At 45.5% G+C, this 12447-nt stretch overlaps 1 long non-coding RNA gene across 1 annotated transcript in view, besides 1 other annotated feature; it reads right to left on the reverse strand.

The window, feature by feature from the left end:
* The window catches only part of LOC105373627 (uncharacterized), a 65027-nt gene that overhangs the window by 45117 nt on the left and 7463 nt on the right, over positions 1–12447 (reverse strand). The gene's annotated exons all lie outside the window — the stretch shown is intronic.
* Positions 9510–9659: an enhancer, noted in NCBI's record as "active region_16542". NCBI's record gives its function as "activates an Ori minimal core promoter by ATAC-STARR-seq in GM12878 lymphoblastoid cells {active_cell/tissue: GM12878}" and the evidence as "EXISTENCE:reporter gene assay evidence [ECO:0000049][PMID:35858748]".

The raw sequence follows: 12447 nt of genomic DNA on the forward strand, positions 1-12447 counted from the left end.
ATAGGCCGAAAAGGGGTTTGCTGAATACACTGAGGGAATCACTCCTGCCTGTCATGACAAAATTGAGTTGCTGCCACATAAAGGGCATAGGGGGATGTATGTTTGGAATGGACATATGTTAGTATTCTCATGCCCTGTGATTAAATTCAACAATCTAGTTGAGGCAGGACTAGCAATGCCCATACCAGCAATGAAGGTCTGGGTCATCCACTGGGCAAGGAGCCATGACCAGCTTAGGTGTTTGGCGAAGGGAAGGAAAGTGGAATGGATAGTAAAAGAAGGTAGATAAAAATACTAGCTACGACCCTGTGGCCAGTTGCATAGAGGACTGTAGCAGCCATGAATATTTATTCCTTGTTTAGATATTAATGTTTATATATGTATTAGCTAAATACTTGTTTCTTTCCCTCTCTCTTCTCCTTATCATATATAAAAATATGCTAATAGATGTTAACCGTATATTTCAGTATTTAAGGTAGGATATAAAAGTGGGGGCATGAACTTCCCAGAAGAAGAATGAACATTACCCAAAGACAAAAAAAGGACTATATATCTTCTTTTGGAGACAGATTTAGGGTGTTTCTGTTTGTACATCAGATGGTTGTATCATGTCTTTATTTGGAGATTAAGTCTGGTTTCAGGAGATGTGTATGAGTGACAAGTGATCAAGAAGAGGACTGTAGCGGCTTTGTAATATATCAGCTTGGTTAGGCTGAACTACAGTTCCTAGAATTTCCTTTCCTGTACGTTTCTGGTTAAGGTGGACCACAAGAGAGATTCTTGTGGAAATTTTGTGAGCATAGGGAAGCAGCAGGTGTTTTGTGGTGGGGTGGGGGTTGGTTTGTTTTTGAGAGAGGGTCTCACTCCATCACCCAGGCTGGAGTACAGAGGTGCCATCACAGTTCACTACAGCCTCAATCTCCTTGGCTCAAGCAATCCTGCTGCCTCAACCTCCCAGGTAGCTGGCTCTATAAGCGTGCACCCCCACACCTGGCTAATTTTCTGTTTTGTAGAGACGAGGTCTTGCCATGTTGCCAGGCTATTCTCAAACTCCTGACCTCAAGTGATCCTCCTACCACGGCCTCATGAAGTGCTGAGATTACACATGTGAGCCTCCATGCCCAGCCAGCAGGTGTTTCATAGCTCACACATGTTCACATGTATCTGCCAGCTCACTCATAGGTGTGAGGGAGTGGTCAGGCCTGCGACTGCTCTGCCTTCTCTAGATCCTTCTTCAGCCACTGCAACTCCTGCCGAGGTGTCTTTCACACTTGATAAGGAGCCTCAGCTTCTATAGGACATCCATGTCCCCCACCCACCCCAGCCAGAGACAATGGGGACTGACAGGGGGCTCAGCTCATCCTGTGGGCTCCGGCTTGTTCTTTCCAGCCTGTTCTTACTCTGTTTTACTTCATATATATATACAATGTGTTGCAGGGATTCAGCCTTACCAAAAATTATAGGAACTGTCTCACTCTATAAATACATAGTATAATAATATTAAATTATATACACACCTATTTATATAAATTCGTTGCAGGGATTTGACCTTACCAATAGTAGAAACTCTCTAAATATAAATATACAATATTATATATAATATACATATATAATTGGTTGCAGGGATTGTGTGTGTGTGTGTGTGTGTGTGCCCCAGTAGTTCTGCTTCTCTGAATCCTGACTGATACATGGCCCAAAGTGTTGGAGACTTGTGACCACCAGGCACATGTTCCATGAGCCTTTAAAGAGCTCCCATCCCATCCCATCCTGGGCAGCTGCCGTTGTAAACTTCAGCTTTGTGTCTGAAGGAGGAACCTTCGTGCCTTCATGGTTTCTTTTCCTTCTAAACTGATCCTTTTCTCCCATTGCACATCTCAGGGAGGAGTTTATATAGGGATTATCCCAGAGCAAGAAATGCTTGAGGAAAAGAGAAGTGGCTGCTGAGATCCTTGTATCATAACGCCTTGTCTGGAGTAATCACACATCAGCTGTATTCCGCAAGAACCCAAGATTCTTCCCTATCTCTGCATATTTTGGAAGGATGTGATTTCCTGCTCATTCTCAGTGAACCATGAACCCTCTCCAGCCTTTCCCCCAAGAAGCACATTTTCCCATCACGTGAAATGGCACATCACATATCTGCTCTGATGCAAGACACTCTGTGAGCTCCCATTCTAGAAACCTCAGTCCTGCAATCTCTTGTTTCTATTGCTTTCTCTTTGCAGTTGACCTGACCTTTCCAGGAGGGCGAATAACAGTTTCTCCCCTACCTTTAACCATACTAACTTCACATTTTTATGTCCCACAGCTATTTGTTCTACTGTGACTCAGGAGCAGAGATGGAGATGGAAGCTCCCCTTCAGCAGAGAAAGGCTCACTTCCTCTCCTTTCCCCACACCCCTACTTCCCCTATTCCCCATACCCCAGCCACCCCCAACCCTGGGTGTTCGCAGTGGGGAATGATGGGAACCCCCTATACCCGCCAGGCCATTTCTGCAACTCTGAGTTCCTCAAAACTTCTCCTTCTTCTTGGAAAATGCTACCACTGAGGCATGACTAGGGGGTCCTGGGGCTCAGTGATCCTCACTGCAAACTGCAGCCAACCCCAAAGCAGCTTGAGAGACTGACTGAGAGACAGGCAGAGGCAGGAGGCAAGGTGAGACCAAAGCCAAGAGCTCTATTTGGAAGCTGAATTCTTAATACCAACTTGCTTAGCATCCAAGAGCCATTAAAAATACTCCAACTTCTCACGGATAAAGAAGTACATATTAGAATGTCCATTTCAGCATTCTTTAGAATACTAAAACTGCCCAACAATGGGAATGTTCAATCGCAGAACATTGAGTAGCTATGAAGAATCATGCTTCCGCTATTTTTAGTAAAAACAGAAGTGCCCACACAATGCTAAATCTTTTTTAAGAGCAAGTGGCATATAAGCCCATTTGTTTGTTTGCTCTAAAATTTGAATTACTGACTATGCCCAGAAACAACAACAAAAAAGTCTCAAGCTGTTAGCAGAGATTTCTTCTGGGGAGTGAATTGGAGTACAGGAAATATTTCTGAATCCTTTGATTTAGTTACAATCCTTTGATTTAGTTACAATTACAATTATTTTTGTAATTAGAAAATAAGAATTTTTAAAAGTCATATTTTTGAAGTCTGGTAAATGACAGAAAAATGTTCATAATAAAAGGTGAATTTTTAACATGACACAGAATGTATAAAAGCTAAAAACACCACAAAATATTGCTTCAAAAAAAGACACTGAAAAGAAGGAAATCCTTCAATATGAAAATATTGATATTTTCTGGGTGTTAAGATTACAGGTAACTTATGTCCTTCAGGATATCTTTTATATTCTCAGAAATTCTAAATTGTGAATTAATTTTTTAATAAAAAAATAGACATTATCACTTTTTTTATAGCCAGCCTTTATATTAGTATCCTGTGACATGCTAGGCCAGAGCAGCTGCACGGGACTCACATTTTCTTTTTATTTTCCCCAAACGGAGATTCTCTGTGGGGATTTTTCTCACAGATGCTGCAATAGCTGTATTCCTGTGAAGAATGTTACAGAACAAAACTTGGGCCACCACTGAATGGATATCCTAAACACCCCGGCTTGATCACCACACATTCTATGCATGTACCCAAATATCACACGCACCTCAATATACAAATATACAAATACAATACACATTGTACAAATACAATATATTGTACAAAACACAATGTGCAAGTATGAAAGTATTCAAATATTATGTATCAATTAAAGATTCTTCAATCAAAATAAAAAATAAAAACTCGGACATCTCCTACCCTAGAATCGGCTCTACAGGACCCCCGTGCTCCCGGTTGCCCCACCACATCCACTGTGTGTGTTCTCTCTCAGCCACTGCCTCCAGCTTGTGAAGACTGGTTATGAATTAACCTTCCTCCTAAAAGACTTTTTGTACTCAATTCTCTAACCCATATCTGCTGTCAAGCACCATTTCTTTCATTTGCCCATAATAAAAATTGAGCAGAGATTATTTAACTCACTGCTAAAAGAACCTGTTCAATAGCAGGACCAGAACCAGACATCCAGCTCCATTATTCTCACAGTATTCAAGCTCCTAGTGACTGCCAGTCATTGTTGACACTAAGGATGACAAGCCACATTGGCATAGTCCTTGTCCTTTGGGTGCTCAAACCAGGCAGGTTAGGAAAGAGGACCAGGAAGGAGGAACAAACAGGCTTAAAAGGAATGAGTTTCGGCAGTCGTGAAGCTAATGAACAAAGGAAAAACCATGGCCATTGCCATAGAGATAGAGAGAAAACGTAAGAGAACAGCAGTTCTGGAAAGCCAGGCCCAAGCTTGACCATTTTCTGAGGGCTAGGGTTCTCAAAGTGTGTTCCCCAGACCAGCTGCTGCAGCATCTCCTGGGGTCTCATAAGAAATGCACAATCTTGGGTCTGGGCCCCCACCCCAGACCTCCTGGGTATCCACAACTCTGGTGGGGACCCAGTCATCTGCATTTTAATACATCCTTGTCCTCCTTCTCCCTCTTAATCCCCCTACCTCCGAGTGATGCGAATTGCTGAAGCTGCAGGACTACTGATCTTAAGTTAAGTGAGTGGCAGAACATGAATAACTCGGGGAGGCAAACACAGCAGGAAACCTGGCATGGACGAGTCACCGGAGCCTCCTGGAAAGACCAGAAAAGGGGTCCCTAACAGATGATCACCCAACATAAGCTCCCAAAACTGCCCTGTTTCAGTTCCAAGTTAGGATTGAGGGCTGTTTACGAGATGCCAGTTCCAAATGTAAGTTAAATGACTATTCAAACACTGGGGGAGAACTCGCGCCCTTATTTCAGCTATTCCAAGGAGTGCTGTGTGAGAGGAAATCACCCAACAACCACCAAATTCCATGAGTCTAGAGAATCATGTAAATACGACGCTACACAGGTGTTAGGATGTGATAAGTGCCTTATTAGAGATTTGCACAATGCCACAGAGAACATAGGAAGCAATCATTGCTGCTGGCTGCAGATAGTTGGAAGGAGGTTTTGCCAAACAGACAACATTTCATCTGGAGCTTGAATTTCAAGTAGAATTTGCCAGCTAGGGAAAAGAGCAGGAGCAAAAGTCGGAGGTCAGAAAGACCTCCTGGAAGGGGAGAAGGATGGGAAGGCACTCAGTGTGGGGGCCAGAGAGCCCCATTGCCAGGCTGAGGAAGATCCGTTTCATTTTGTAGGAAGGGGAACTCATGGGAAGTTTTGAAGCAGAGGAATGGTGTAGTGAAACTGACAAATAGAAAGATCACTTTGTATGGGTGGAAAAAGGAGATTGGAGAGGTGGCCAATTGGAGAGATTGGGATTCCGAGTGATTTCTAATTTTCATTTACAGTCACAAGTTGCTTAACTATGGGCATACATTCCATTCTGAGAAATGCATCATTAGACAATTTTATTGTGTGAACATCATAGAGTGTACTCACACAAACCTAGGTGGCATAGCCTGGTACACACCTAGGCTATATGGTATCCTATTGCTCCTAGGCTACAGATCTAGATCTGTATAGCAGGTTATTGCACTGATTATTGTAGGCAATTGTGTCACAATGGTATTTATGTATCTAAACATATCAAAACATAGAAAAGGTACAGCACAAATATGATACTCTCATCTTATGAGTCCACTATCATACATTTTGGTCTCTCCTGACCAAAATGTTGTTATGTGGCTCTTGACTGTATTTGTGCTTTTTTTCTACCAGGAATGTGTTCTACTCAGCACTTCCTTTGCAATAATGAAGTACAACTGTGAAGAGAAGGAGCCACACAGGACAGGGACACCCTGGAGATGAGAATTAAGAAATGAGAAGAGCAGGGTATACGCCCTCAAGTGGAAGCGCTGGCAAGCAGGAGGGACTGTTTGTCCTCTGAGACAGGAAAGAAGGGGCTAAGAATTCATGAAACACAAATGTGTGAAGTCAAAGAGAAGTGGGATCATCTCTACCAGAGGTCTCCATTTTCTCAATAATGAAGATATCAACATTGTGGCCTGAGAATGCAGGGTCAGGGCTAAGGGTGGGAATTTGAGAAGTGCCACCAAGGTTTGGAACAAACAGCAGCTAATACCCCCAGGGTGTGTGTTCTTTGTCAGGCACTGTGCATACATACTCATTGAATCCTCACAACACCACCAGGAGATCAATGCTATCATTATCATACCCATTCCACAGAAGAGAAAACTGAGGCACAGTGCGATTACAGTGACGTAGGTGGTGAGTGGCAAAGCTGTGATTTGAGCCCAAGCAGTCACCAACCAATGTGAGAATTCAGAGAAGGAATACCCCAGGAATGGGTAAAAGATCCTGAAGTAGTATTGAAAGCTCAGCTGAGTTTAAAAGCCATGTGTTTTCTGTGGAGTCCATCAGAAGGCTTGCCCTTGCCCACACCTACAGAGAGAACCTTAGAAGAAATATCGCATGTTTCTGAAGGGAAGACTAGAAGTCTAAAAGGGCCACCTCAAAATGTTGGTGAGCGTTGCATTCACAAAGGGCGACCTGGGCTCTGACATCAAGTGGGAAAGCCTCTGTTGGAGGGTGCATGGAGAATGCCAACTATGGGCCAGCAGGCGCCCTGTTGAGCCTAAGGTCCTGCATCCCCGTAAATCAGGGATGCTGCAGGGGGAAGAGGGCGGCTTCCCAGCCACCGAGTCTTTGCCTCATCCGACTGTGGAACTGGAAGTTCTTCAAGTATTTGGGGGAAGAGCAGCTGCCAACAAAGCTGAATCAAAGGACCTAAAAATAGTTCAAGAAAACACAAAGACAGAATGTGCAATTCAGATGATTTGGGAAACCGAGCCAAACTTAGAAAAACTACAAGATGGGTGGTGAGCGAGGAGACAGCCCTTTGCCTCACTCTCTGGCAATAATTACACCCCTAATTACTGTCTATTTGCTTAGCAGAACTCTCTCCCACTGTTTCTTCGTGGTGAAAACTCTCTTGGGTCTTTACTGTACGTCAAAGCATCCAGATCAGGTAAGCAAACCTGTCTAGTGGCATGCTCACAGCAAACCAAATCCTAGCACAGAGAGACGGGTCCCTACACCATTCCCTACTATCCATGGGATGGGTCCGCCTTACATGCAGGTGAAATAATTGTGAAATCTTAAGTGTCTCTAAAACGTGCCCAGCCCCCTGGTCCTTACATATGACATTTTGAGGTGGTCAGGGGAAATCCAGCCGAAATTTTGGTCCATTAGGATGCATTTGCCTGCCACATCAGAAAACCCTCCAAAACAGTGACTTCGCCCGTAAGAACATTTTTTAAAGTGTAATTTAGGAAAAAGTAGTTCCAAGGTCAGTTCAGTAGTTCCACATCATCAGGGCATCAGTCAGTGCAACTGGCAGGGAGGGGTGGCACAGGACCTTCCTCAGTGTCTCCCAACAGATTATGTAGAGAGACTCCTTTGCTGCTCAGGCTGATGTCTTGATGCCCTGCTCTTTCCAGAGGAAAGTAATGTGCTTCCCGCAGAGGGCTTCTGTTAGCCTCCCATGCCTTTTCTAGATTCTGAGAGCAACTGCTCTCCTTGGCTCACAGCCCCTTCTTCCATCTTCCAAGTGCCTCACTGCAGCCTCTGCTCCCATCATCACATCTCACACCCTCTCCTTCTGATTCTCCTGCCTCGCTCCTATAAGGACCCTGTGGCTACATTAGGTCCACCCAGACCATCCAGGACAATCTCCTCAACTCAAGATCCTTAAGCTCAGCATATCTGCAAAGTTCCCTTTGCCATGCAGGATAACATAGTCACAGGTTCTGGGCATTAGGATATGGACATCCTTGGGAGCCATTATCCAGCCAATCACAGGCCCTCTTCGCCTATGTTCTCACTGACTCTAAGGAAATAAGTCACTCCCCCTAAAGATTTCTGTCAGGTATTTCTGGAAAGTTCCAGATGTGTTCTTGAAACATCCCTTTAGGCTACCCTATAACAGTTGCCATTTTCCCTTTAATTTGGTCACTATGGTACCACTGATGGAGCAAACCTAAAATTGGGGCTCAGCTTGGGGAGGTTCTTGGCTTCACTTAGGAAGGAAGCGAGAGTAAGCTGACAGCGAAGGAAAGCAAGTTGACTAGGACAACAGTGTGCAGCAAAAAGGCTGCTCCATAGACAGAGCAGAGCTGTCCCTTAGGCAGAGTGGCACTCATGGATTGAGGGCTGGCTATATTTATACCCACTCTTAATTATATGCTAAATAAGGGGAGGATTACTCATGAACTTTCTGGAAATGGGGCCAGGAGTTCTCAGAACCATATACAGTAACTTTCAGGCATTGCCATGGCATTTGTAAACTGTCATGGTGCTGGTGGGAGTGTCTTATGCAAATATATTTTAATTTCTAGCCCTAGTTGGTTTGGGCCTGCTTCTTTGCTACATCCTATTTTGATGAACAGGGTTGTGAAAACTAGTCCTGCTGATGTCCTGCCTCACTATGGTGATGCCTCTTGAGAGTGTGAATTGATCAGGTGTTCTCCAGAGAAACACTGGTAGATACACATACACAGATGCACATATTGATACATAAGTACATATATAAAAGAGATTTGTTATAAGGAATTGAGTCACAAGATTACGGAGGTTGACAAATATAAAATCTACATAGCCTATGTCCAAAGACTGGAATATTCTATAGAACCAGGAACAGCTGATGTCTAAGTTCAAAGGCAGTCAGGCAAAAAAACCTCTCTTACTTGGGGGAAGGTCAGCCTTTTGTTATATTCAGGCCTTGAACTGATTGTACAAGGCCCACCCATATCAGGGAGAGCAATCTGCTTTACCCAGTCTACTGATTCAAATGTTCATCTCACCCAAAAACACTCTCACAGACACACCCAGAATCATGTTTGACCAACTATCTGGGTACTCTGTGGCCCAGCCAAGTTGACACATGAAATTCACTGTCACATAGGGCCAGTGGCAGAGGTGGTGGTTGCACTGCTCAGACCCAGCTGAGCCCCACTGGAGCAGGTGTCACTGAGCACTGACATGGTTGCTGGTGCCCACTGCAGCCTGCACTGCAGGTGCCCAGAGGCCTAGCACCATCACCCATCACTGCACAGTCAAACACACCCCCTGGAAACAGGAGGCTGAGGTGGTACAGCCTGAGGTCCCAGTAAGAATGCAGGCACATAGTTTGCATTGTTTGCACCACACCATTTACTGTGGCTGCCTTCCCTGACAGAGGGCATGCACCACGACCTACCTCACCTTTATCCCCTTCCCCACTCTTCCCCACTCTTTGAAACAAACTGATGCACTTCAACTTTCTCTTCCATTAACACAAGCTCTCTCCCCACCCCAGCCCCTTATTTTCCACATAAACAGCCCCTGCGGCAGGTACCTCGCGTGTCCTCTTCCCCCATCAGCCTTCCACCTGGTCAGGCAAGCTTGAACCCTTTGATGAGTTACAATTCAAAATTTAAACCCAAACCAGAACCCAATTTCAGAAGCCTGCTGAAAAATCTCAAAAGTCTTCAAAACAAAACCAATGAGTCACCAGTGTCCTGAGACTCTGCAAGCAGAGAAGCAGCAAGAAGTTTAGGGGATGTGGGATATGACTGAGGGCCTCAAATTGTATGAGATAAGCCCTGTCTATTTCCTGGCTGAAAGTTTTCTTGAGAATAATCCAGTTTCCATGCTGCCACCTTCAGAACCTGTCCTTGGACAGCCTTTCTAGTCCTGAGCTGCCCTTGAATCCCAAAGATGCTGCAGCCAGGATTCCTCTCCCTTCCCCCTTGATAAAGGGCAAAGCAGTGGAATAAGACGGTGGCTCTCCTCAGCCTGGCTTGCCAATCAGGCCAGCTGATCTGGACAGATGCAGACTTTCCAAGGCCTTAGGAGAAAGCATACATATTTCATGGGAACCTAATCTAGTTGAGCATGTGGAGGTTGGGGACAAAAAAACCTAGCAGGTGTTTCCCTCCCTGCTGGGCAGGCAGGACCGGCACTGTGCAGGTGGTGAGCTGGAAACAGAGCTTGAAGGCCCCAAGAGGGAGCCTGATCTTCTTAGGCCCAGCCCATGGAGGCAAGGGGACTGTAGAGTCATTGATCAGGCTTCAGGTTCAGGGAGCACAAGCTGCTCAGGGGGTCTTGATAAAAACCCTTTCAGCAGAGTCAGAAAAGGAGGTGACTTTCAGCTGTGTCCCAAGAGGCTCCTGCACAGCAGTACTAGGTCGTAGCTAAGAGCACACTTTGGAATCAGATAGTCCTGGGTCTTAGTTCCCATTCTGCCCTATCTTAGGAGGAAGAACTGAGCTGGTTAATTTATCTCTGAGTTACAATTCTTTATCTATAAAGACCTCTGTTATATGCTATTATGAAGTCAATGACAGCATCATTAACAGCTCTGCTGTGTCTGGCTTCTATCTTTCTATTCTGTCTTCCCAGTATGTGGCTTCAATTTTCAAGGTCACCTAATGGTCCAAGATGCCCTTCAAGCTTCCAAATTCCAGGCTAGAAGGAGGAGAAAAGTCAAAATGGCAAAACAAGGAGGCTTCTCTCAGATTAGTCAGCTCCTTCTAAGCAGCCTTCCCTGCCCACACAGTACACACTCTGCTTCTCTTTCACACATGGCCACACCAGGCTGGGTGAGTGTCTGGGAAATCATCCTGTAGGTGCTTTTATTAAACTGAGTTCATGCTCACCCCTTCTAAATTAATTTGGGCATCTGTTACTAAGGAAGAGAGAAAAATGAAGTCTGCTTCAAGAGCCTCTATCCTCCCAAGTCCCCTTCTAGGGCTTTCCCCATCACAGGCATCTCTTCTCTCAATGAGGACCACAGGCAGGCATCCCTAGGGCAGGACTTTGGCTAGGGCACAAAATGTAAGGAGGGGCTCACACTCAGTTTCCTGCAACTGCTGGCCCTGCCCTTGCGTAAAGCTGAGCTTGAGTGCCTCCTTACATTTTGCATCCCAGGCACCTTGCTTATCTCATCCTAGTCCATTCTTGCCTTAGCGTTGCAAAACACTAACCCCTCTGTCCCCTTTACCACATTGTGCAGGGCAATTTCTTCCCATGACATCTGGTTTTCCAAAATGGGGAAACCTCCTATGTGAGCGTCGAAATTTAGATCAGTTTGGGATTCACCAATGCCCTCAGACCTCTGCATTGTCTGGGGTCTGAAGACCCTGCAGAACACATAGGCTGCACCCTCACAGCCACAGGACCCTGCCCCTCTGAGAGCAGGCAAACAGGTCTGGATGGCCAGTCTGGAGGCCACTTTACTGGGAAGGGCAAAGCCAGTCAGCCTTGTGGCACAACTTCTCATTGCTTTGGGTTTCACAACTCCTGCGGCAGAAGAAAGAAAGGGCTGCAGCTGGCACTGTTCCCCTAGCCCCCACCCCTGCCTGAGTTCTTCCAGGAACACACCAACCGTGCTAACACTTGAGTTTCACAAACCAGCTGGCCTGAAACAAGATTGGATACATGTGGGTTTCATACACAACGGGTTAATTTCTAGTCCAATTATAATAATGGTAATAATTGGCCACACTCGGGGGAGCTGGCAATTACCACTATTTTTAACCTGCATCACTAAGGCAAATGGTTTTATGTTTAGCTGGTTCTCAGAGGGCTGAGTTTTCTCCAGCTGGGAAAACTATAGCAGAGTCACTGCCCATCCCTGTTTCCTTTGAGGTTCTTCTTCCAACATGGTATCACCTGCAAGTCCCAGGCTCATGGGACCACCAGCCCGTTCCTCCCTTTATGCCCTCCCTTCCCAACTAGGTTCTCCAAATCAGCAGAGATTCGATTCATCACATCCCCATGTGTGGATACCCAGTGGCTCTTGAACCCTGATCGCCTATCTTACCCCACCATTCCCAAAGGAAATGTGTATTTCTAGTTTTATTTTGACAATTCTCTCTGAACCCAGGGTGGGCCTCCTGGCTCTGGGTGGTATCATCATGGGCTTGGCCTGTCTCGCAGCCTCTGCAGAGAGAGGTGCTGTTGGTGGGACACAAGGAGGGCTGTACCTACTGGGAAGCAGGAGGGAGGGGACAAGGCAAAGAAACACTCCCCACCTCTCATCTCTTGCCCCATGGAGAGATTCCTGGCAAATAACCTGGAAAGAGTCAAGAGCAGACAAAAGCTCTGGGGAAGCATGACCCCTGCTTTGCACTGTTTCTTTCTGTGGCACCCACTCATGCCGGTCTTCTCTCTCCCCATCTATATGGTAAGCCCATCAAGGCAGAGCCTGTATATTTTCCTGTTGTCACCCAGCAGTGTCTGATACCATAAGCACTTGTTAAATGAACAAATAGAATTGGGCATTTCTATAGCCTGGATATGTTCAGTCCTCACCAACCCGGGGTTCAAGTAAAGTCACACTAATGTTAATAATTGTCCCCTGGTCACATTACCAGTTATTCTGGTCCATTGCAAAAGTCTC

Source organism: Homo sapiens, chromosome 2 (assembly GCF_000001405.40).
Source record: "Homo sapiens chromosome 2, GRCh38.p14 Primary Assembly".
Lineage (NCBI taxonomy): Eukaryota > Metazoa > Chordata > Mammalia > Primates > Hominidae > Homo > Homo sapiens.